Source organism: Homo sapiens, chromosome 9, assembly GCF_000001405.40.
Source record: "Homo sapiens chromosome 9, GRCh38.p14 Primary Assembly".
Lineage (NCBI taxonomy): Eukaryota > Metazoa > Chordata > Mammalia > Primates > Hominidae > Homo > Homo sapiens.
Window position 1 is genome coordinate 2,834,582 of NC_000009.12, and position 26,157 is coordinate 2,860,738.

Below are 26,157 nucleotides of genomic sequence, written 5' to 3' on the forward strand. Positions count from 1 at the left end.
TCTGAGTGCTGTTGTATATTAAGTCACTTATTTCTTACAACAACTCGAAGAGGTAGGTATTAATATTACCCTCTCTTCCATGGTGGGGAAAAAGAACAAAGCAGTTGAGCTCTCTATCTGAGGCCACACAACCTGCAATGGTAGAATTAGGACTCAAACCTAGAAACAACCCTCTGCTGTCTTAGTCATGACAATGAACAACCAAAATTTCCAAGTTCGCCACAAACAGAGTGATACTATAAAAGTCGAATATCTATCACCACTTTTTTGTCTTCAAAATCCAAGTAACTTACCAATTGAACTAATGATGCCAAACAAAGAACAACTTACTAAAATGGGTATTATTTACATGAGTATCTGGCACAGAATCTTTTGGGGGAATTAGTCACTTCTAACTATCTCCCTGTCTCTATAAAAAACTGGGAAAAATGCAAAAAAAAAAAAAAAGAAAAGAAAAACCCTGTAAAACCAAAACCTAGCTATAGCCACTGATAATTTTCCCCTTGCTTCTTCTCCATACATGTTTTAATCTTTAAAAACTCAAAAAGTGGCCAGCTGCAGTGGCTCACGCCTATAATCCTAGCACTTTGGAAGGCTGAAGAAGAAGAATCATTTGAGGCCAGGAGTTTGAGATCAGCCTGGGCGAAATAGTGAGACCCCGTCTCCACAAAAAATTAAATTAAAAAATTAGCCGGGTGTGGTGGTACATGCCTGCAGTCCCAGCTACTTGGGAGGCTGAGGCAGGAGGATCACTTGAGTCCAGGAGGTTGAGGATGCAGTGAGCCATCATCACGCCATTGCACTTCACAGTCTGGGCAACAAAGTGAGACCCTCAAAAAAGAAAAAAATTCAGAATCTGCCTTCACTCAATATGATTAGATTATGTTTGCTCATGAAATTAACATTCCTCAAGAACATAATTTTTAATGGCTATCCAATATACTACAATGTATTTATTATTCCTTTATTGTTTACTTATATATTCATTCCCTGTCTGGTAATACAAAAGATTATAGGCAACAGAGGGCATATTTACCATTATATTAATATGGTATCCTCTACTATACAATAGAGGATAGGAACTGATCCAGGGCTAATTTAATTCCATAAATATTTGGGTACCCTTGACATATGTCATGCTAGGCTGCAGTACATTTATCAGTGTGGGGGTTGTCTAGTAACCAATCTCTCATGTTATTTTATCAGTCTAGTTACTGATACAAAAATATGAGAAAATGAAATCCAGAGTCCCATTTTGAGATATCAGGAACATATCTCCCATAGCAAAAGAAATCATAACTTTCCTCATATCAATGTGAGAAATTAATGTATATGTGTTTAAAATGCAGGCATCAAAAACTCCAGTAGAGAAAGAAAGATTTGGGATCTAGTAGAGAGGTTAGGAAAGAGAAAGTAGAAAAGAGAGCTGGAAGAGAAACTTCTGGCAATTGGGGAGGAGGAAGATGAGGGAGAAAGAAAAAATGAAAAGAGAAGATCAAGACTGGAGCATGAAAAGATCCTGGAGCCCTAATGGGAAACGATGGCATTTCCCCTCCTTCCTCTCTCCCTACCTCCTTGTCTTAAGGCTGCTGTCCCTCTGGTAAGCAGCCCTTAGGCAGGGTAAAAAGCAAGCACCAGGACTAGGGGATGGCACTGAGAAAACCATCCCCAGTGGTCTCAGCTGGCAACAAAGGAGCAGTGTTAAGACACGCTGTGCTGGAGAAAAAGAGAATAAAAGGCACCAGAAAAATTCTCAGGATGTTGCAAAGAAAGTAATGATATGACAATCCACATAACCTGGAAACTGCTTGTTTGAGATCAGTGCAGGACAAAGCACGACAGCGGAATGTTATAAAATAGAGAGCAAAGTTCTGGGTTAGAAATGACCCACTGAACATCGTTGACAGAGATGGGCAGTTTGTTTCAACAGACAAGCACGAGACCTGCCAATACTTCCAATCAGTGAGCAACTTGTCCTGAATCAATTAAAATCAAATCTGTCATGTGTGCACAACACCTTCTCTGGAACTACTATGGATCTGCGCCATCAGAGGGATTTATTGTATTAGACTGGCCTAAGCTCTGTGAAGGCAGGGTCTCTATGTTTCTTGCTCACCAAAGCATCCTTAACCAAGGCTGACACTTAGCTGGGGACAGACTGATTCTTTAAAGCCAGATTCTATGATTAGTTGGGGCCTGTATCCTTACTGATTATTTTTGTGTGTGTGCGTGTGTGTGTGTGTGTTTTGCCCTATCTCCTGGTACAATGCATAGAAAACTCAAATACTCGTTCGATGAACGAATAAATTTTAGCTTATAAAAAGAAATGTTTTATTGAGGTTCCACTGTATAAAGCCATTATAATTTAACTTAACTCCATGGCTAAGGTAATTCAGAAAAGGGCTAAGAAATAAGAAACTCTAAGCACCAGAGGAAAATTGTGAGCATGAAAGATGCTTTGTTGTTTATTTAAGCCACCTACCTGTCCCAAAATGTTACCTGCCAAGGAATAAGAATGTGAGGTTTCTAACGCACCTCCAGAGTCCCTGTGCACAATCGTTCAGGCACTAGTTCAGGCATGAACGAACCAGTACTTACCATCGCTTCTACCATCTGGCTGGAATTTTCTCTTCTTGTTGAATTTATTTGCCGGCTGGAATTTGTTCTTTGGTGATTTGTCCCCTTGCTGCTTATTCTTGAACTGCTTTACACCCTTTTTCCCAAGTTTTGTGATACTTTTCTCAAAGTTCCTAGATGTGACTTTAGGTCCACCTTCTTTAGCAACTTTCCTTGTTGGAAATGTCTTTGAAGAACCAGAATCTAGTGACAATAATAATTATAAGTTCAATGATTCTGGGCCCAAATCTCTTTTATCTATTGGATTATATCCATTACAGAAAATTATACTTTTTAATCCCAATACCATGTCTTACTCTCAAATATGCAACATATAGCCTTTTGAGTAGAACTGGATTTAAACAATCAAAACAAAAATAAAAAATTCTTTCCTTGATTATAAAACCACCTAGAGAGTAGAGAAATGTAAAATAAAAGCTACCCATGATTCTACCACTAAAGATAAACACTGGTGTCAGTTTGGTATGTTTCTCTAGTTTTAAGCATATAGCAGAGCTATTATTTATATACCTTTGTATTCTGCTTTAATGATGGTCTACACAGAATTTTCAAGAGTTCAATAACAAAAGAAGTCTTAAGAAATGACTTCTTGAACATTCTTGAAATTTGGAAAGTATATCATAAGGACATCTAAAATGTTAATTTTAAAATTTTCTAGTTTTAAGAAAATTTTAAAGCCTATATTAAAATTATTTATCAAAAACTTTTGATCAAGAAGGCTTACAAATTAGTACCTAACAAATGAGATGCAAACAGTAATGGCTAACATTAAGGAAACATTAATCATTTGTATAGTCCCTTGACTTTTCTGTTTTACAATACTGACACCTGATGGAATAATAAAGACATCACCATTATAAATTCTGAACCTAAACGTATTTGGCTTATGAGCAGTATGTATTAAACAGTCCTAATTTATCAAATGTTAAAATAAAATGTATGGTGAACTAGTGTGAATAAAATGAGGCAACAGCAGCAACAACTGAGATAAGGAGTCTTTCATGAATAAGGCATTCCTCAATCATTCTTGCAATTTCTTAAGTGTCTAAATGTCATGAGCAACATGTTAACTCATACACAATAACACATACTTCTTCCTACTATTTTAATCCTAATCCTAGCCAATGAATACAGATTGAAATTTACTACATGCCCTCCCATCCCCCAATTATAACAGCCAAACACCCACATGGGAAGCATATCTTACCACTATTTTTATGAAATCTGTTTTTTTCTTGTGCTGTCTTTGTACTCTTTCCTGTGAATTGCTTTTTCCCTTTAACTTCCATCGTAGCAACTCTGGAAAACCAAAACCAAAACCAAAAACAATCACTGCAGTTCTCTTCATCAAATAAGAGCTGTTTCATAGTCATTGCCACATTTAGTCCTTCAGTCTACAAATACAATACAAATCAGCCAGATATAGAATGGACAAGTACTTAAATCCAGCAATTTTGCAATCACTGACTCAAATTTTAAAACTGAAAATGAACAAGGTATCAATAAAAAAACTAAGAACAACACACACCCTGGCCAGTGTTTGATATCTCTGGAGGCATCACTTCACTTCCACAATAGTACTGGCTAAAAATAGACCACTATTGACACTAAGTATAATAAGCATCAGAGTTTGCATTTTGTAACCTGGGAAGACTAGGGGATGAATAACTGACAAAATTATCGCTTGATTTCTTGGAGCCTAAAAAGCCAGGAACAAACAATAGGCTGCATGTACCACTACATGCATTTAATATAAGAAAATAAAGGATTATCTGAAAGATTCCTATGCAATCCAACACAGCTAAAACAAAGATTAGCATCCAGTGTTTAATCTGTGATTGTTTTAGACGCAGCCAAGCAATTGGCAGTGAACTCCAAAATAAGATGTTGAAATAGTTAATATTTCATTGAAAGGAATCTGTCTAATAGGCGCTTTATAGGCTACTGAGACACCATGGTGCACAGGATAAACAAGTTATAACCCCTCACCTACCCAAGGTCCCTGAAAGCAGCAGAACAGATCAAGAGAAAAAGCCATTTGGCTCATTTCTCCACTTTCCAAAGTTGGACGATCAACTCATTTGAAAGCTGGCTGTAAACAACAGATGTTAGGGATCCCTAGACAACACCAGATATTTCTAGATTAGAATTGCCCATTCAAGAACTAATTTCTCAGGATATTACCATAAGAGAAAAGAAGGGTTCTGGGATAAAATATATTTGGGAAACAGTAAGTTAAATGACAAGAATCAGCCCGTAAGAAAAGGCTTTTCAGATTCTTTAATTTGCTAATATATACAATCAATTCTCAAGCAAAGGCTAAAGGATGCAGGATTTTCCAACTCCAGTTGAACCACTTTTTCCTGGAACATCATAAGGGAACAGCAGACTTCCAAGGAGTACTCTGGAAAGTGCTGTTCTAATCTAGACTTTTCTAATGATTTTGAAAAATGGACAGTCCCTGAATTACTCAGCTTCCTCAGGGCATTTAGAACTGAAGGGTCACATTATTACTTGGCTATGGCCATCATAACCATACCTGCATCTCTCAGCTCTTCTACACCTGTAGTTTTCTAAGAATCCATTCATTTACATGTTTTCTCTGTATGTTTGTTCTAATTTTTATATTGAAATAATTTTAGCTTTACAAAAGAGTTGAAAAGATACACAGTTCACATATACCCTTTCCCCAGCTTCCCCTAATGTTAACATACAGTTAACTAAGCTACAGAGTTGAGTTGGAGTTTACCAGTTTTTCCACTAATATCCTCTTTCTGTACCAGGATACACTGAATCTGGCCATCAAGTCTCCTTTGTATTTTGTAGAATATTCCTCATTTGGGGTTTGCCTGATGTTTTCTCATGATTAGGCTAAGGCTACACATTTTTTGGAAGACTACCAGAGGTCAAGCTTTCTTCTGGTAGTACTCTATCAAGAGGTACATGACATTAACATGACTTATTACTGTTTATGTTAACCGTGTTCACTTGGTCAAAGTAGTGTTTTCCAGGTTTCTCCACTGTGAAGTTGCCACTTTAACCTTTCCATCTTTATTAGATCCAAACCACCAAGTCCAGCCCAAAGTCAGAGGAAAATTAAGCTCCACTTCCCAGAAGGAGGGGTACTAAAGAATCCAGGCATACGTTAAACTACCACAGCAATTAATAAACATTTTAGACAAGATGTTTGGAGAATATGTAGACATCCTATGTCCTCCTAAGTTTTACCTGCTAACTTTAGCATTTGTCGGTGGATATCGCCTGCAGCAATTACTGCATTTAAATGGTGATCTTCTATTTCTCTTATTACTTTTGCCTTTGTTATTCTCAACTTTTCTGTAGGGAAGACTTGTCCCATCTTTTCCATCTATTTACTTGTATCATATAGTCTCAGATATTTATTTCATTCCTTGGTTATAATCCAATACCACTGTTATTTTGTTGCTCAAATAATGCTAGCTCCAGCCAGGGGGAAGTTTCTCAGGTTGCTTCTGTGTCCTTTTGACGCGGCCCAACTGTTTTGTTTTGCTTTTAAAGCACATCCTTATTTCCTGGCACTGGCTCCAGGTTCCTTCTGTATTTTCCTTAACCTAGCCCTGAAATCAGCCACTTCTCCAAGGAATCCTGGTTCCTTTCATTGAGAATGGTATTTAAAAACCAAGATCTGAGTGCTAGGCGCACTTGTTGTCACTGAGGTGTCCCTGTTTCTATGTCCTTTCGGCAGACAGATTCAGGAAACACATATATGTATATTAACTTATGCATATGCACATACCTATATTTATTTTTATATCTATTACAATAACTTGAAGCTCATACTGATGTTTCCAAATCTAATCAAGCACCACATATTTTCCTCCAGGCATCTCCTCTTGCTCATTTGTAACTTCCTTCTCTGACAGTGAGCAACCTGCTTCCCACCATCTACAATTTATTTATACACATATTCCACCCTACTATACATGCATAGTTTCAGAATTGCTAACCTGTACCCCGTGAGAAATAAATTTACAATGACAGTACAGTGTTGACGTACAATTCTTTTTTGTATCCATTCAAAATACTTTTCCAAAGTTACTTAGAGGCTTGCATGGTGGCTCACACCTGTAATCCCAGCACTTTGGGAGGCTGAGGCAGGTGGATTACCTGAGGTCAGGAGTTCAAGACCAAACCCCATCTCTACTAAAAATACAAAATTTAGCTGGGCATGGTGGTGTTGCAAACATGTAATCCCAGCTACTCAGGGGGCTGAGGCAGGAAAATCACCTGAACCCAGGAGGCAGAGGCTGCAGCGAGCTGAGATTGTGCCACTACACTCCAGCCTGGGCAACAGAGTGAGACTCTATTTCAAATGTTAAACTACCATAGCAATTAATAAACATTTCAGACAAGATGTTTGGAGAATATATGGACATCCTACCTCCTCTTAAGTTTTACTTGCTAACTTTAGCATTCAAGTCAGTGTATTCTGCCTGCAGCAATTACTGCTGCAGGCCAAAAAAAAAAAAAAAAGGTTCTTAGATCAGCCCTTCGGCCCCTCACCCTCTTTAGTGAAGTTACATGTTTATAATATAGTTTAACTGATTTGTCACAGCCTGCATTCCATCCCCAGAAATGCTGGCAGATTTATTAAATGTGCATATAGTCAAGTTTACTCTTTCTGGTGTATAATTCCACGGGCTTCAACAAATGGCTAAGACTCATGCATCCACTACCACAGTATCTTACAGAAAAGTCCTGTCACTCTAAAAAGTCCCCTGGTACAGCTCCTTTGTATTCAACTCCTTCCCTCTTTCCTGACTGCCAATGATTAGGTTTTCACTCCTGTTTTGTCTTTTCCAGAATGGCATTCTTATACATGGAATCATACAATATGTAACTTTTTGAGTCTTGCTTTTTGCACTGGGCAAAATGCAATTTGCTTTGCTTGGGAACCCTGTACCTTCGTAATGAATCATCACATTCAATAGTGTCTCTTGGAATTCGCCCCCCTTTTTCCTTTCCCTCTATTACCCCATTCAGGCTCCTGTTACCTCTTGCTCAGTTTTGTTTAGATCCTATCTGCTTTGATCCACTTTCCGCTGCCTGATTAACCTTCCAGTAGCACACCTATTTCATGTCATTTCCATGCTCCAATAGCTTCAAAGCTTTCCCACTGCCTTCAGGAAAAAGTTCCAACTCAGGCATTCACAGCCATTCAAAATGTGGTCTTAATTCACCCCACTCATCACCACCACACAGGAGCCACTATTCTTATCAGAATAGTGAAGTTTAAAGCCATTCTCTCTACCAACACAATTTCTACCCATCCTTCAAATTCAGTTTAAATGACATTTTCTTATAGACCAACCTCTACATGTTAGCATTCCTCAAATCTTTGCCCTAGGGAACTTCCCTTCTCTCTCCACACTTCTCCCTAGGTGGTCTCATCCAATCTCCTGGCTTTTTATGCTGAGTACTCCCAAATCATGTCTCCATTATGAACTTCTCCTTGGGGTCCAAACTTGTGTATAACTGCTTATCTGATACCTCTAATTATGTGTCTAACAGGAACCTTACCCTTAATATGTCCAAAACATAATTCTCTATGTTGTTCTTTATGTTATTGTTGTTTGCCCCACAAACAACAATATACTATTTTTCCCTGCCCTATCGTCCTCCATCTCAGCCAATGGCACATCATCTACTTTACTGCTCAAGTAAGAAATCTGAGTTACCCTTGACATTTTCCTCTCTACTCTGCCACGCTGAACCATAAGTTAGTTCTCTTAAATGTCCCTTACGTCACCACCCTAATGCAAACTATTACCAATACAATCTCTTGAGCTTCCAAATGTAATACATTTTCTAAAGAGAACCAGGGCCTATTCATGATTCTCACTTGCTTACAAGTCTTCAATGTTTTCTACACATGGTAATAGGAACGGAAATGTTTTCCTATTGTACAGAAAAAAAAATTCCCCATCATGACCTTCAAGGCCCTACAGAACCTAGTTCCACTCTATCCGGCTAACTTTATCTTGTACTCTAACTATACTCCTTCCTAGCTCCCATCTCAGGAACTTAGCCCATTATCGCCTCTGCTTGAAGTACTCCCTGAGCTTCCAAATCTCCGTTTAAAGATCACTTCTTCAGACTCCACTATCTGCCAACTCAGCATCCAGTTCGTTTCCTCCCAGCACTTAGAATCTGCGTACATTCAGGCAAACCGCCTAGCACTGGAGTTGGGGTTTGTGAAGTAGCACAGACAGGCTGATCAGGCCGAGCACGGGCTGGGATTCCGGAGTGAAGCTAGTCCACTCTAACCCGGCACGCAGGGCAACGTGGTGGGAGAGAGGTCGGAGTCCCGCCCTTCTTTTTTTTTTTTTTTTTTTTTTTGAGACGGAGTCTTGCTCTGTCTCCCAGGCTGGAGTGTAGTGGCACGATCTTGGCTCACTGCAAGCTCCGCCTCCCGGGTTCACGCCATTCTCCTGCCTCAGCCTCCCAAGTAGCTGGGACCACAGGCGCCCGCCACCATGCCCGGCTAATTTTTTGTAGTTTTAGTAGAGACGGGGTTTCACCGTGTTAGCCAGGATGGTCTCGATCTCCTGACCTTGTGATCCGCCCGCCTCGGCCTCCCAAAGTGCTGGGATTACAGGCGTGAGCCACCGCGCCCGGCCAGTCCCGCCCTTCTTGCCAGGCTCCAGTCAGTCCCAAACTCCTAGCCCAGAAAGAGGCCAGAGGAGACTGCCCAGTGGACAACAGCCCCGAGAGACCTTCCCGACTTCCAGCGCCCGGCAGGGTGCGAACCCCTCCCAAGAGCGACCGCTGAGCCTGCCACACTCACCGCACACGTGGGACCGAGACAGCTCGCGCAGCGGATCCCGACCGCCTCTCCGCTTCCGCTTCCTTGCCTTGCTCCGCCCCCGGGCCGCTTTTTTTCATCTTCCGCGGCGGATCAGGGACTAAGAGGTGGAGCTTCCCAGAGAATACAAAAATTCGGAATTTCTATTGGTCCGCTGCTGTTATGCCTCCTCTTGAGGCGCGAGGATTTTGGCCCTTGCAAGAATCCGTCGGGCGGAGGACGCGACAACGGCCACGGGAAATGACGTCATTAACCCTGTGGCTTCCGTGCTGGAAAGAGAGGGAGAGCTCTTGCGAGGCAGAACAGGCTGCTGAAGGACAGACCTGGCTGGCGCGGTTAATAAGAGGCCTGCATCCCGTAGCCTGAACAAATATTGAAGTAGCTAAAGTTTCTAAAGTGTGTTAATTTGCATACTTCCTCAGCAGTCCAGCGTGGAGGATAAAAGGGGTATCTTGTGAGTCGATTTGAATTGTAATCCCGTTTTTTTCACTTGCTAGCTGTGTGGCTCTGGGAAAATTACAGTTTTTATGAGCTTTGGCTTCCTGATCAATAAAATAGAAATAATTAAGTGATACGTGCAAAGCGCTTAGCATGGAACGCTCTCAATAAATGTTTGCCATTTTTAGTGTCTGCTCGTGCCTGGAAACTGCTGTTATTCCATTTTATACTTCAGGAAATAAGATTGTGGTTAGGATATATGCCCCATTTTCCAGATGAAGAAACTGACACCACAAACTTGCTCGTGTCAAGCAACAGAATTTTATTCTTTAACTGTTCTAGAGGCAAGAATTCCAAAATCAAGCTGTTGGCAGAGCCCTGCACCTTTTGAAGGCTCTAGGGGAGAATGCTTTGCTTCTTCAGCTTCTAACGGTTCCAGGCGGTCCGTGGCCTCTTGTTGCATGACTCCAATCTCGGCCTGTCTTCTAATGGCCTTCTCCTGTGCCTGTGCCACTTCTCTGTGTGTTTTTAGGACACTGAACATTGAATTTAGAGTCCACGGGGATAATCCAAGATCATCTCATCTGGAGGTCCTTAATCACATCTGCAAAGGCCCTTTTCCCAAATAAGGTCACTTTCACATGTCCTGGGAGTTAGGACATAGACATATCTTTTGGAGACTATTCAACCCACTGCATCTGTAAAGTTGAGGAACTGGCACTTGATCCCTGGTGCCAGACTTCAGATTTTACTGTCTTCCAACTTACTCCGTTTTCTGGCCACTAAGGAGTTAGAGTTGAAACTGGTAATTTAGTAGACTGTATGCTTCTTGATGACAGGGGCCATCATTACTTTCCAGGCACTTATCTCACTATGCAGCACATAGATACTTGATAAGTTCTTGTCGTCTACCTTAACTGTTACTAGTTTACATTTCAGCTCATTTAAATCTCATAAGAACGTTTTAAATAGGTCTTTTCTCATTTTACAGAGAAAGGCAAAACATAGTAGCTTTGGTCCAGTGAGCCTGACTCTAAACTCAACGTGGCTGCCTCCGTACTGCTTTCAATAATTCAGTAAATGCTAAGAGAAGAGAATATGGAACAGGAATTGCAGGAGGCCCATCAGCTGTGCCTTTTGGGCAAATAGCATAGTAGTGGGGATATTAGACACCTTGAAACACCTGACAAGTAAATGCTGGCCAAAAAGAAAGAAAAATCGCAAAATACACCCTATCACACAACCCTGGGAAGGGATACGTTTGTGTTTTCAACTCGACAGACAGCAGCACCCCATATCCTTGAAGATAGGTCCATGCAGTTGCCTTAAGCATCTGCACCAAAACCCTGCTATTCATTTGCCTTTTCACCAGGGAGGAAAAAAAAAATGTTATCACATATCAAAGCCCTTGATTATTATTAAAAACTTTTTTATCAAGTCTTCTGTGAAAGTGGATTGATTTGGATTTTTTTTTTTTTTTTGGAGTGAATTGAAAGCATCGTGTGGTTTTGCAGAACAGCACAAAAAAAGCTTATCCTGTAATTTTTTTTTTTGTCAAGCAAACCCATTAATTCTTCAAATATCTAATGATCTAAATGTAGACCACTAGGTGTACTCCTACAAGCCTAAGATGCTCTTCTTGCGTGATACACAATTTAATCAGAGCAACTAGACTTGCACACATCCAAGAGGTTAATAACAGTACTATAGCAATGCAATGACGAGCATTGAGATTAGAATCAAAGGAACCTGGCTTACAATCTAAATTCTGTATGGCCAAGGACAAGATAGCCAACTTGTATGGGCCTCAGTTTCTGCATATGTAAAATGGGAATAACAACACTTGTTTCTGGAGTTGCTGTGAGGCTTAAAAGTGATAATATCTTAAAGTTCTTAGCCAGTAGTAAATGTTGAGTGATTTGTAGCTTAAGAGAGAACCAAGGTGTACCCATTTGAAATACTTTGGGGCCGGGCGCTGTGGCTCACACCTGTAATCCCAGCAGTTTGGGAGGCCAAGGCAGGTGGATCACCTGAGGCCAGGAATTCGAGGCCAGCCTGGCTAACATGGCCAAACCCCATCTCTACAAAAATACAAAAATTAGCCAGGTGTGGTGGTGCATGCCTGTACTCCCTGCTACTCTGGAGGCTGAAGCATGGAGAATCGCTTGAACTGGAGAGGCGGAGGTGCAGTGAGTGGAGATTGTGCCACTGTACTCCAGCCTGGGCAACAGAGTGAGACTCTGCCTCAAAAAAAAAAAAGAAAAAAAGAAATACGTTTGACTTCACATAACGGAAAGTTCAGCTAATGGTGGCTTAAGCAATCATTTTCTTAACATAAAAATTTGGAAGGTACTTGGTTGTTGTGGTTCAATGACACAACAATGTCATCAAAGACCCACGCTCTTCCAGTCTCTGTTCTACCACCATCCTCAACGTTGACTTTTTATTGTCCCATTTACTGCTTTTTGATTGCAAGATGAACTCCTCAGTTTCCATATTTATCTAAGAGTTCAGGGCTAGTGAAAGTGCAGAAAGAAATGAAATCCACTATTTCCTCCCAGTGGGGCTCCGTCCTTTTATCCCAGAAGGAAAAGACCCAACAGGAGTCTCCCTTCTATTTCAGTGCCAAGAACTGGATTACACGGCCACCCCAGAATTGAAAGACCATCAGATACAATGTTAACCAGGCATTTGGATTTCATTCTTTTTCTAGTACTCTGGTAAAATTAAAGATCACTTAGCAAATATGCTTTTATCCAGCAGTAGAGATTTAATTTGTGACTTAAGCTAATCTGGTTTAAAACTTAAAATAACTATAGTATCCCAGGTGGTGGATAGCAATCTGGGCAGCGCATTGAATCACCTGTGGAGTTTTTGTTTTTGTTTCTTTAAGTAGCAGTAGTTCTGATTTAATTGGTCTGGAATGGGACCTGAGCATTGAGAATTTGATGCCTAGATCATGCTAACATGCAGCTAAGGTTAAGACCCAGTTATTTAAGGAATGGGGTTCAAGTTTTGTTTGTCTGTTTGAGACAGAGTCTTGTTCTGTCACCCAGGCTGGAGTGCAGCGGTACGATCTCAGCTTACTGCAACCTCTGCCTCCCGGGTTCAGGCAGTTCTCCTGCCTCAGCCTCCCAAGTAGCTGGGACTACAGGCGTGCGCCACCAGGCCCGGCTAATTTTTGTATTTTTAGTAGAGACGGTGTTGGCCAGGATGGTCTTGGACTCCTGACCTCAGGTGATCCACCTGCCTTGGCCTCCCAAAGTGCTGGGATTACAGGTGTGAGCCACTGCCCCGGGCCTGTTGATTTGATATTTTAGTTAACTAGGGGTTAAATCTCCTGGTTCCTCTTTGTATTGCAGGCACCAGAATTTAAGAATTAAATATACAATATGCTTCTCTCTGTAAGTAGAACATTGGAGAGAATTGTATCTTTCTTGCTGACTGAGTTCTCCTAAAGTGATTTAATACCATTAGATGTTAAAAAATGGTTTAAATTTGAACTATACACTTTCAAACATACTCTGGAAAATGTTTGCTTCTTTTTTCAATTTCACATAATTTTGTGTAATTTTCTTTTTTCCATAAAAATAAAATAGGTTAGGTGTCAGCTCCCATACATCTTCCCCTTCCCAAAATCAGTTCTCTGGAGTTCTAATTAGTGGATTTTTAACGAATTACGTTGTTTTTCTGTTTCTCAAATGCATAAGCAGAGATAGAGGGCATGTTACTGATATAAAGCATAAGTGATATTTTGGCAAGGATTGGGCTTTATTTTCAGGACCTATTAGAATCATAAATCCATGGAAACGGAGCAGTTGCCAACACATTTTTATTTAGTGAAAAAGAACTGCTTCTGAATAGTGTGCATTATGTTTTCCAATATCGTACATTTGCTACAAAGTGCACTAATGTAGTCTAAACATTAATTGAACATTCATAATGCTGTAGTTGCTGTCTAGTAAACACAGTATTAACCTTGTCCTATTTTGCTTTCTTTGATGACAAACTTTGGAGCAGCAGAAAATTACATGGCTAAGATGTAAGTTTATCTGATTGTAGTAGTCTCACCTTAATAAAAGCTTGTGTCAGCACATGATGGAGAAATGAAATAAAAAGTAGGTAATATCACTTAAAGCCCAAGAATTGTCACTTATACACAGTGCATTTATAATGCACTATGGTTTTGTCAAACAAAACTCCTCAAGCAACACATACTAGCTTCAGTTTTTTGTCTAGGATAAGAACGATTAATACGTTGGCATTTTAAGTTTTTAAAATTCTGCTTTCAGGCTTGATAAAAGTTATTTCCTTTGGAAAGTATCAATTAGTTTTTTCGTGTGATTTCCCTAATTTGTGAGCAATAAAGATAACCAAGCATATATTTTATTAGGTGAACAAATAAGAAAATTGTTTGTTTCAAATATGAATAAAGAATAATTTTCTTGCAAATCAAAACCACAATGAGATACCATGTCACACCAGTTAGAATGGCGATCATTAAAAAGTCAGGAAACGACAGGTGCTGGTGAGGATGTGGAGAAACAGGAACACTTTTACACTGCTGGTGGGACCGTAAACTAGTTCAACCATTGTGGAAGACAGTGTGGCAATTCCTCAAGGACCTAGAACTAGAAATATTTGACCCACCCATCCCATTACTGGACATATACCCAAAGGATTATAAATCATGCTGCTGTAAAGACACATGCACACGTGTGTTTATTGCGGCACTATTTACAATAGCAAAGACTTGGAACCAACCCAAATGTCCATCAGTGATAGACTGGATTAAGCAAATGTGGCACATATACACCACGGAATACTATGCAGCCATAAAAAAGGATGAGTTCATGTCCTTGGTAGGGACATGGATGAAGCTGGAAACCATCATTCTCAGCAAACTATCTCAAGGACGAAAAACCAAACACCACATGTTCTCACTCATAGATGGGAATTGAACAATGAGAACACTTGGACACAGGGTGGGGAGCATCACACACTGGGGCCTGTCATGGGCTGGGGGGAGGGGGGAGGTATATCATTAGGAGATACACCTAATGTAAATGATGAGTTAACGGGTGCAGCACACCAACATGGCACATGTATGCATATGTAACCTGCACGTTGTGCACATGTACCCTAGAACTTAAAGTATAATAAAAAAATTAAAAATAGAAAAAAAAGAATTTTCTAATTATTCCTCCCACTTTTTAAAACTATAGAAATTTCATGTTGGTACTTAGAATAATGATCTAGCTCTACTTACCTACCCAATATTCCTCTCTTCCTTTATTTTTTTTTCTTTTTTGGAGAGACAGGTTTTGCTATGTTGCCCAGACTGGTCTTGAACTCTTGACCTCAAGTGATCCTCCCACCTCGGTCTTCCAAAGTGCTGGGATTAATGGGCATGAGCAGCTGTGCCCAGCCTACCTCTTCCTTTTAAGATGAAGAAATAAATTAACCCACTTGCTCAAACCTATTATGTCAATTTAAATTCTCCAGGAAGCAGATGTCAAGATAGAATTAGGCCAAGAGACATGTTGTGAGAAAAACTTCACAATAAGCTGAGGGGAGAGGAAATAGCAGTAAATAGGGAGCACCCGATACCATGATACAGCTCTGACGTGTGTCGAGAGAGAGGCGGAAGGAGGATGTGGTAGAAAGTCTTCAGGCTGTAGTAAAGCTCTGAGAAAGCCTCGGCGAGGCCAGCATGGCACTGCAGAGCAAAGATTTCTCCTTAAAGGAAAGCTAAATTGAGTAGGAAAGGCCCAGCTCAAGTACCCCTGCTGTGCTCAGTCATTGGCTGGGAGCAACCCAGGGAGTGCATGGCCTCAGCATGAATGCTGCAGTGGATGCTGAAGTTGTGGCAGCTGGAGGCATAAGCTAACTACACCTCTCGCAGCCGGTTCTCTCTTGAAAGGAGATTGGAGCAGTTCACTCCATGGCTGCCAGAGTCTACCCCTCACACAGCACAGGGCTATTTCTCCATGTGTGTTTGGGGAGTGGCTCCTCCATTGTTCCTATGGCCCTCTGCTCAGGAGGGGAATGTTAGAAGAGAGAGACCAGGGGGACAAAGTATAGTCTCCTGGGGGCTGCAGCAAGTACTCATCATCTCACTCCAGCACTATCCATTCTAAATTCACCTCATCCTTGGCTATTAGCTTGGCAGGTCTTGATGACTAACCTGGTCATGTGACTTAAACCATTGGTTTTACAGGGTCTGAGACTCTAGTAATCATAACCTCTAAGCCAAGGGTTGCTTCCTATGTTCATTTACCATTACAGTGGGGGCTAAGGAGAACTGAGAAATACCTAAGTGGATCGCCTAGGTTCTATATGTATTCCTCCATGTCTCAGTTGACCAAAAGCAGTCCTATCTCCTCTAGTTATCGGAGTTAATCACACTTGCCCAGATGGAGACGCCCCTTCTTACCTGTTAATCTTGTACACAAGGAGTCCAAAATGTCCAGGAGACACCCGTAGTTCAATGAAACTCTTGCTCTGTCCCCTGGCAAGAGTGTGCCTCCTTTGAAGACAAGGACTTCTAAACCTGCAGAGCCCAGAGTTAAGGCGACAGGAAACATGCATTTCCCCAGAGGGCCATTGAGAATAATGGTAAGAATGATGATTCCTGCTTCTTTCCCCTGGTTCCTTGACCCATGTATTCTTATTAGGAGCATAGCACTCTATGGAGATCTCTGATTTATTTATTCTGCATTCTGGAGGATAGCACCTCCTTTTTGTAGACTATTGCCTGTAAACTGGTACTCCAGCTGTGCCTTCGATAGGCCACTGCAATGTTCTATTGTGGGTTGGTTGCCTCTTGATGGAGCATCTGTGATGTCATCTGGGAATCACATGACCATGGGCTCACTTCTGCACCCACTTTGCTGTGAGTTGTGGCCCCTGTTTGGATGCTATGTTACATAGGTTTACATGCTTGTGGATCATGCACTGCATAAACGTCTGGATATTGATGCTGGCTGAGGCTCTGTGGGTGGGAAAGGCAAACTCATATTTGGAATAAGACTATCCCACTGAGGGGAAACTGTTGGCCCTTCCAGAATAAAAGGAGCCCAAATGTTGTCAAGTTGCCACTGAGTGGCTTGTTGGTCTCTTTAGGAAATAGGGCCATTTCAGGAGTGCTGCATTTGTTCCTGTTGCTGGAAGACTCTACATTTAGAGGAAGCAGCAGTTAGATTGGCCTTGGTGAGTATAAGTTCACGCTGTTGGGCACATTTGTAGCCCTCACCTCTGCCATTGTGTTCACTCTATTCATGTGTCCATCATGCCCAATGCTGAAGACTGACGAATGTCAACTGGCCACGATATTTTGTCTACTTAATTGTTCGATGTTTCTCCTTTAGTGGATGCTTTCTGATGGGTATTAGCACGTGAAAATGTTTATACTTTGTGTAAATTCTCATCTGACTCCTGGAAGCTTCACCAAAGTGGCCTGTGCCTGAATTTTTGTAAGATTTCTCTCCTGCCCTCTGGAACACATGTTTCTTACCAAGATTCCTAGCATAGCAGCCATGTCTTCATTTTATTGATGTAATGGATCAAATGTGATATTCTACAGGATGTCCAGATGGTCCAGATCTCTTCGGACTATATTAAGACAGAGGGTGGGCGAGCTAACATAGCCCTGGTGCAAAACTGTAAATGAGTATCGTTGTTCATTCCAAGGAATGTGAACTGTTTCTGATCTTATTTTCCATCTATTTTTTTCCATCTTTTTTACCATCTGCTGTGGCAACTCAGGCATTTCACCTTTGCTCAGCAACTGGGCACTGCTTTTACTAGGCTTTGGAAAGCCACATAGCAGTGTGTTTGTCCCATCCCTAGGGCCTTACCAGGGTGCTAAAAACCGTATCCCAAGAAAGTGACCCCAAGTCAATGCACTCTTGCTTGTTCACTTTTGTCTTCCAGCCCTTTGGTCAAGAACTCTCATAGTCCTGCCCCTGAGAACTCCCCAACTCTTGAAAGTAAATGCTGTAGGTAATTGTTGCAGGTCCTTTAGGGTACAATCTCTCTGTATCCTCATCAGGCCCGGTATTTCTCTGGGATTTGACCTCATTTATTGGCCTGGCAGTCAGGAGAGGCATCTGGGGTAGCTCTGGGTGGGGGAAGACGGCAGAAGTTGTCTTTCAGAAAGAGACCTCGTGTTGTCTTTCTGCAGGAGGGAAGTTTAGGTCTTAATAAGGCCCTAAAACAAAGATTCAAGTGCAAATGGCTTAGTCCGGGAATGTCTGTATGGGAATGGGGAGTGAGGCAGGGAACAGAAGATAACCAAAAAAGTGTTCATTGTCAAACAATTTAAGATTGTGGGCAACTGAAGATCCATCTTGTTAGAGAACTTTGGAAGCCAATGTAGTACATATACCTCAGAGATAGCCCACCCAAGGGGTCCAGAAGCTGGGGCATTCATAGATGAACTCCCATCAGTCATTGGTTGACGACTGCTTCTGAGGGTGGGTGTGGGGGTAGTATTTCCCTAATATTTCTGGTCTGCTATATGAGCATCAACGTGGCATCTAGTGGCATCAGAGAAACTTTCAGAAAAAGATCCATCTGCTGGCAGTGGAAGGCCAGACAACGTGTACTGAAGAGGCCAGGGTGGGGATTCGGACAGTCTACCGGCAGGATCCACTACAGGATTATTAACAGTGGATTATTTCAGTTTCCTCAGCAGACCAGACCAATGGGCTGATAGTAGGGAGTGAAAAGATAGAACAGATTTTATGAGCTTGTATAAAGGAATATTTTCAGGGATTGGTCTTAAAGACCCTTGTCTTATAAGGCAACCAGGGATTTTGGCCATTTAATGACTTCGGAGTTAGCCTCAAAAGAAATGTTATCCCACACGCATTATTCTTAATACAGTACGGAAAATAAGTATTCACAAGATCAATCTTTTTAAAAAAAGGATCTGGGGAAAGGTGGAATAAACACACTCATGGAATAGTAGTGTAACATACAGTCATGGGCGATATAATGCCATTTTAATCAACAACTGTCCACATATACAACAGTGGTTCTACAACATTATAATGGAGCTAAAAATTCCTATCACCTAGTGATGTCATTGCAGCCATAATGTCATAGCACAATTACTTAAAAAATTAATGTAACCTAAGTGTACAGTGCTTATAAAGTCTACAGCAGTATACCATAGTGTCCTAGGCCTTTCCATTCACTCATCACTCACTCAATGACTCACCCACAGCAATTTCCAGTCTTGCACTCAATTCATGGTAAGTGCCCTAGGCAGGAGTACTATTTTTTATCTTTTGTATCATATTTTTACTGTACCTTTTCTGTTTACATATGTTTAAATACACATATACTGACCATTGTGTTGCAATTGCCTACAGTTATGTAGCACAATAACATGCTGTACAGGTGTGTAGCCTAGGAGCAACAGGCCATACCATATAGCTTAGGTGTATAGTAGGCTGTACCACGTAGGTTTGTGTAAGTGCACACTGTGATGTCCACACGATGATGAAACACATTTCTTCTTCTTTTTTTTATTTTTTTTGAGACAGAGTCTCACTCTGTCGCCCAGGCTGGAGTGCAGTGGCGCGATCTAGGCTCACTGCAAGCTCTGCCTCCCGGGTTCACGCCATTCTCCTGCCTCAGCCTCCCAAGTAGCTGGGACTATAGGCGCCCGCCACCACGCCCGACTAATGTTTTGTATTTTTAGTAGAGATGGGGTTTCACCATGTTAGCCAGGATGGTCTCGATCTCCTGACCTCGTGATCCTCCCGCCTCGGCCTCCCAAAGTGCTGGGATTACAGGCGTGAGCCACTGTGGCCGGCCGAAACACATTTCTAACAACACTTTTCTCAGAATGTATCCTTGTCTTTAAGTGGCACGCAACTGTACCTCAAACTCCAGACTTGCTCGTTTTAGCCATTCTGTCCTTTTCATAGAGATGAAACAAAAAATAAGAAATAATGGAAATCAAGAAACATTACCTAGGAATTAATGAAAAAAAATTAAAAGTACATTCTAACAGTTTGTTCAAATATTTCCAGCAGGAGCTTTTGAGAAAATCTCCCCCAAGTCTGATAATCAAAAAATAGAAGCATGAGCAAATAATATACTGAGGCATTAATTCAGTCTCATTCTCATAGCTGTAACAAAAAGAATGAGAGGTATTTTCCCTTTTCTTCACCCCTTGGCTCATCAGCAAGACAGAACAGACTTTAAAAGAAAAGAATATAAAAGAAAGATAAAGGAAAGCCGGGCTCCTTGAAGAATGGACCTGAGATATCCAAGAGGGAAAGCATTCCAGGTGTCAGGGAGCATTGCAGGTGGTGATGGGACTGCAGTGGAGGTGGAAGTGGGGGGTGGGAGGCAGGACTCCCACAATGTAGAGGAACACAAGGTGGAACAGAAGGGAATGCCTCTGAGGGTCCAAAGGGCTTGGGGAATGAGCATTTCTTTGACAATCACAATGAACTAAAGATTAAAGACTCTGTTCCTTGATTTTTTTTCTGGCAGCTAAAGCCCTGTGGGACTCTTCATGATGCATGAGACAGGGAGGGACTTCTAGAGACACTACTGAAAATATTCCACCACCTCTAGTGGGTGGCAGCTTAGCCAAATCTTTTCAATTTAGGAAAAAAAAAAAAAAGGCTGATTCTTGCAGCAAATTCATACCTGCAACAGAAGGAATAACTAAGACATACCCTATACTTAAAAAACCCCCGCTTTTTTGCAATTATGTACTGAGAAGCACCACACCTGGGAGGGCAATGAGTGATATTTTGCCAGGTTTATGGCTGGAATCATCCTCCCCATGACTATTCTCAGACTTTGTCCATCAGTGTAGGTGCCTAGACATTCTCAGCAACCTAAGAAGATTTAATTTTCCCCACTCTTCTTCTGAATTATTTTCTACTCTCTAGAAATTGACATGCGAACAAGAATGGGTACATATGACCAAGGAGAATGGAGATCTTTTAAAGGTATATATTTGAAAATAATGAGAAAGGATGAAGAGAAAGCAAAGCACAAAGGTCAAGAAGATGAAACAGAAGAGGAGGATGAGAAGAGTAGAAAAGGGAAGTGGAGGAAAAGGTGAAGAGTAGAAAGGCAGAGGAAGAAGAGAGGGAAGAGAGGCTAGGCCAGGTGCTGTGGCTCATGCCTGTAATCCCGGCAGTTCAGGAGGCTGAGGTTGGAGAATCACTTGAGGCCAGGAGTTCAAGACCAGCCTGGGCAACATAGCGAGACCCCACCCATCTCTACGAAAAATTTTTAAAAGATTATCCAGGCGTGGTGGTGCATGCCAGTAGTCACAGATTCTTGGGAAGCTGAGGCAGGAGGATCACTTGAGCCCAGTTTGAGGCTACATTAAGCTATAATTGTGCCACTCCATTCCAGCCTGGGCAACAGTGCAAGACCCTGTCTCAAAGAATGAAAGGAAAGGAGGGGAGGAGAGGGGAAGGGAGGGGAGGTGAGAGGAGAAGGAAGGAAGGGAGGCAGGGAGGGAGCGAAGGAGGGAGGGAGAGAGTCTTAGCAAATACTATATATGCTTGAATATACAGAGCTCCTCTCTTCCATTAGTTGAAGAAGCCCCAATAGTATATTTCGGCCAATTTGGTTAACTAAATTTTTATAGACGTAAGTGTACTAGGCATATGTCTCCTTATAATATTAATTTATGTAGTGACACAGACACATTTAAAATCACTTTAAAAATAATATACAAATCTATAAATATTGCTTGTTCTTACTTTGACATTTCATTTAGTAAACTTTGTACATTCATTTTTGACAGAAGTATCTTTGTTATCAATAGAGCCACTTTTTGAGTCATCCTATGCTATTTTCAGGAAGGACATTCAACATTAAGGTTTATAACTCAGGAATGATGCTTTGATGCTATAAGCAGCAGAGAAACCTGCCATAGCTCAGAACATACCTGAGAATCATCCAGTGACCCTCACAGGCCAGGAGAGTCCAGGTGGGACAGATCTCACAACAGGCACAGTAAAACAGAGTCCATCTAACAGGTAGATTGGGATCTCATCATGGCAGGAAATATGAGTCTTTTATTTAACAAGCATTTGATTGCTCCATGACTGGCATTTTTTTTTAGACACTAGGGAAACTTTAATAAGAAGCAAAGATGACAATCTCTATACTCATGGAGATTATGTTCTAACAAGAGGAAGAAAACAACAAAAATTAATAAGTAAAGCACATAAAAATTTAGATAGTGATAAATACTATGGAGAAAAATAAAGAACGGGCCACACAGTCTCTGGGCCCTTGAAAGAAGCAAGAGAATGCAGAATGCGCCATGTTAGTAACTGGAGGAACAGTGTTTTAGGCAGAGGGAACAGCAAGTGCAGATGTCCTGAGGCAGAGCCATGCTTTGTTTGAAGAACAGCAAGAAGGTCAGTATTGTTGGTGAGGGTAAGTGGAGAAGGAGATGGGTTTAGGGGGTTATCTGTGAGCCTGATTACAGTGTCTTGGATATTGCGAAGACTTCTGTTTTTTCTCTGAAGGAAAGGGATTGTGAGCAGAGGGGTGGGTACGATCTAACTTGTGGTTTTACAGTATCATTCTGGCTGCCATGTGGGGAATGAACTTAGCGGGGAAAATGTGGAAGAAGGTAGACCAGTTAAGAGACTCTTTCAATAATCTGAGAAAAAGTGCTGGTAGCTTGGACCAAGAAGTGGGCAGTGGAAGTTGTAAAAAGCAGTAAAGAAGGTGGGGAAAACTAGCAGAGCCCACATGCAGAGCCAGAATCAGAATCATAACTGTTGAGTCAAGGGCAACTTGACCAACATATGAAAGAAAACCCAGGGTCAGTGTGTCAGAAACCCCGGGAATCCACTAACATCAACATCACCTGAAGCCTGCAGATATCACGCCCCACTCACAACCCTACAGCCCTGATATCTCTTTGTACACCTTGTATTTGAAATGATCCAGGCATTATAAAAAATGAAAATGCTATTTTGAGGGAAGAGGGACCTTTACCATTATTGAAGCCTTGAGAATTGGAATTCAAATTGCCAATCACTGTCTTCTGCTAAACATTTCTAAAAAGGAGACAAAAATGTGATTCCACAGAACACTGAGCATTATCATTCATTGAATCTGTGAGATTTGTGAATTGACAAAACTAAACACACGCAGTGGACGGAAATGGGGAAGAGCTATGCGCTGATACTTTTAAATGCCACTGTGTTTCGCTATGAATGTTTCTAATTACAAGACAAACAGAAGTGTGCACCGGAGGAGGAGCATCAGCCACCAGATGGCACTATTTCCCTGAAATACCCAATGGTACCCAAAATCACCAGGATGGCATACTCTCCAGGATTCTGCAATACTCTCCAGGCTAGAAAGGAGAGTCTTTCATTATTATTAACATCTCTTCTAAAGTCAGGGTCTAGAACCACAGAGGCAAAGGTTCTGTCTGTTCTGAGGCAATTCGGTTCCCCTGGCACAGGATGGCCTGAAGGATTCTGTTTTTCCCAACAAAGCTCTCAAAAGAGTTTAATGCAGGAGCTCTTAATCCCTATGGCAGTCTGGTGAGACTTCTGAACTCCTTCTCAGCATTGTGATTTTAAATGCAAAAAATAGGATGCGTAGGATTGCAACGGAAGCCAGTTATATTGAAAAGCTGCTACTGGAATATTTAAGCAAATGCAAGACATAGTAATATATGTGCTTTTTTATGAATGCAGTAAATAATAAAAGCCAGAGGCAGGCCTCCTATCCATTGTAATCTTGAAATAGCAATAAGCAAAAACAATATCTCAAAATATCTGCAACAACTATAATATGATGTTGTGGCTTAACAATCATATTTTATAAACTATAATTTTACTTAAAAGTTAGTAAAAAAAAATAAAGGTGTATTTTCTTTTCCCTTCTCTCTCTCTCTTTCCCTTCCTCCTTTCTTATGTTCCTTTAAAAAATATTTTCACTGGCCAGGCATGGTGACTCACGCCTATAGTCCTAGCACTTTGGGAGGCCGAGGTGGGCAGATCACCTGAGGTCAGGAGTTCGAAACCAGCCTGGCCAACATGGCGAAACCCTGTCCCTACTAAAAATACAAAAAATTGGCCAGGCGCAGTGGTGGGCGTCTGTAATCTCAGCTACTTGGGAGGCTGAGGCAGGAGAAGCACTTGCACCTGGGAGGTGGAGGTTGCAGTGAGCCAAGATCGCGCCATTGCACTCCAACCTGGGCAACAGAGAGAAAGTCTGTCTCAAAAAAAAGAAAAAAACAAGACAAACAAACAAAAACAAACAAAAAATTATATATATAATGATTATATTATTATAATAATATATTTAGAATATATATATTTATATATATATAAATATATATATATTTAGAAACTGTTTCTGTCCATGAACCTCTTGATTTCTGTCCATGAATCTCTTGAATATTGGAAGACCCCAAGTTAATAACCTTTGGTTCAGTGCCTTTTTAATGACTGTATCATACATTTTTGCCAACTGAAGAAAGTAAAGCCTCCCTCAAGCTGGCCACACTCAAAGAAGAAATGAGTTAAAGAGATTTTTTTTTTAAGTTACATTTTTTTTAAAGAAAAGATCAGGTGCAGTGGCCCACACCTGTAATTCCAGTGCTTTGGGAGGCTAAGGTGGGAGGATCACTTGAGGCCAGGAGTTTGAGAGCAGCCTGGCCAATATAGCCAGACCTTGTTTCTACAAAATATTAAAAACTTAACCTGGTGTGGTGGCTCATGCCTGTAGTTCCAGCTACTTGAGGTGCTGAGGCACAAGGGTTGCTTAAGTCCATGAGATCGAGGTTACAGTAAGCCATGATCACACCACTGCACTCCATCCAGCCTGGGCAACAGAGTGAGACCCTGTATCTAAAACAAAATAAAAAACAACTTCCACCCCCCAAAACCATCTGCATTTTATACTGTCTCTCTACAAAATGTTTGTTGTGGGTCATGAGCAAATTTCTATTGCTATCAAATAGAATACACATATTTATATATATATGTAGCTAAATATTTATATATATATATAGCTAAATACTCTAGAGACTGGGATAAACTATAAATATAAATATAAATATATGAGGAAGAGAAGAATACGTGTTAACTAACTTTCAATAGTACAAATGAAAGTAATTTTGTTATTAATAATTTAATTTATTTGTAAATTGTCTCACTTTCTCATCATGAACAACATGGGTAAGAATATTAATCATTTTACCTTTGTGTCTCATGGCCCAGGCAAATCAAAGTTGTAGTTTACTGAGATAATATGCAAATGAGATCATGGAACTGCTGCTAGTGGGACTTTTTTAATCTCATGGGTAACAAGAGACTGCAAGCAAGAACTTCACATCCTTTACATTTTCTAAGATGGGAAGAAAATAAACTCTACAAACTGCATATTGGGGAACTCAGTCTTCGTTCCCAAGAATGTACGAACCTGGAAAGAGACGCTGATCCCAGTAGGTGGCGCCAGCAAGCAGTCACCAAGGACAAGTCCCAGCACAGTCACTCCACTCTTTTTCTGGAGCTTACTAGACTGGAGTGGCGTATTAAGAGGATGTGTGAGTCCCCTGAAAGGTGTCTGAGGATCTTGCTAATGGTATACTTTCTCACAAGTGAAGAGATGTATGCTAAGCACAAATTAGGTGAATTCAGAACATTTAAAAATAAATAATCAGCCATTCTCGTATCTTATTAGTTTGTAAGATCTGCCATCTTCTCCTTTTTTCTGTGGGAAACCAGTCTTCTAGACTCACACTGGCATATGAACTTGTTTTCATCAAATGAGTTAATAGGAATGGGAGAGTTGATTTAGGAAATTTTGGGCTACATTGAGGGAAGAAGTTGAATGTCTTGAATCAAAGAGATGATGCATTTACTCTCTTTTGGGTGAGGCAAACCAACCTGGAAAGTTGTACTCTGTTTGGAAAATCACATTTTAAAATTAGATACAGACAAATTGGAACACCTCAAGCAGAGAGTTAAGGATGCTGACGATTCAGGATATGTATAGGAAATAGTACAAAGGATTTGAGATGTTTCAACGTGAGAAGGAGCGTGGGTCATGACAGGGAGGGGGATAAAGCGTGTTGCTCACAGGTTGGGGCTGACACATAGAAGACTGTACAATTTAGACAGTAAGTGCAGTCACTAGTCTAAGACCACAAACGAAGGGGAAATAATTAGGTTCAACAGCAGAAGAGCATTCAGTCACAAATGTTCTAA

The 26,157-nt window shown here is 41.0% G+C and overlaps 1 protein-coding gene across 1 annotated transcript in view, besides 4 other annotated features; it reads right to left on the bottom strand.

Moving 5' to 3' along the window:
- The window catches only part of PUM3 (pumilio RNA binding family member 3), a 39,944-nt gene extending 30,430 nt beyond the window's left edge, over nt 1-9,514 (bottom strand). Inside the window, exons 1-3 of the mRNA NM_014878.5 lie at nt 9,464-9,514; nt 3,845-3,936; nt 2,599-2,820 (exon numbers count right to left, since the gene is read on the bottom strand). Of these exons, the coding sequence (NP_055693.4) occupies nt 2,599-2,820; nt 3,845-3,926 (304 nt within the window). The 5' untranslated portion in view covers nt 3,927-3,936; nt 9,464-9,514. The remainder of the gene's footprint in view (nt 1-2,598; nt 2,821-3,844; nt 3,937-9,463) is intronic.
- Nucleotides 8,543-9,104: an enhancer, noted in NCBI's record as "H3K27ac hESC enhancer chr9:2843124-2843685 (GRCh37/hg19 assembly coordinates)". NCBI's record gives its function as "activates a minimal SCP1, AML or CMV promoter by ChIP-STARR-seq in primed H9 embryonic stem cells {active_cell/tissue: H9 hESC(primed)}" and the evidence as "EXISTENCE:reporter gene assay evidence [ECO:0000049][PMID:30033119]".
- Nucleotides 9,488-9,782: an enhancer, noted in NCBI's record as "tiled region #29; HepG2 Activating DNase unmatched - State 1:Tss, and K562 Activating DNase unmatched - State 1:Tss". NCBI's record gives its function as "activates a minimal TATA promoter and a strong SV40 promoter by Sharpr-MPRA in HepG2 and K562 cells {active_cell/tissue: HepG2 | K562}" and the evidence as "EXISTENCE:reporter gene assay evidence [ECO:0000049][PMID:27701403]".
- Nucleotides 9,488-9,845: a biological region, named in NCBI's record as "Sharpr-MPRA regulatory region 29".
- Nucleotides 9,606-9,845: an enhancer, noted in NCBI's record as "active region_28138". NCBI's record gives its function as "activates an Ori minimal core promoter by ATAC-STARR-seq in GM12878 lymphoblastoid cells {active_cell/tissue: GM12878}" and the evidence as "EXISTENCE:reporter gene assay evidence [ECO:0000049][PMID:35858748]".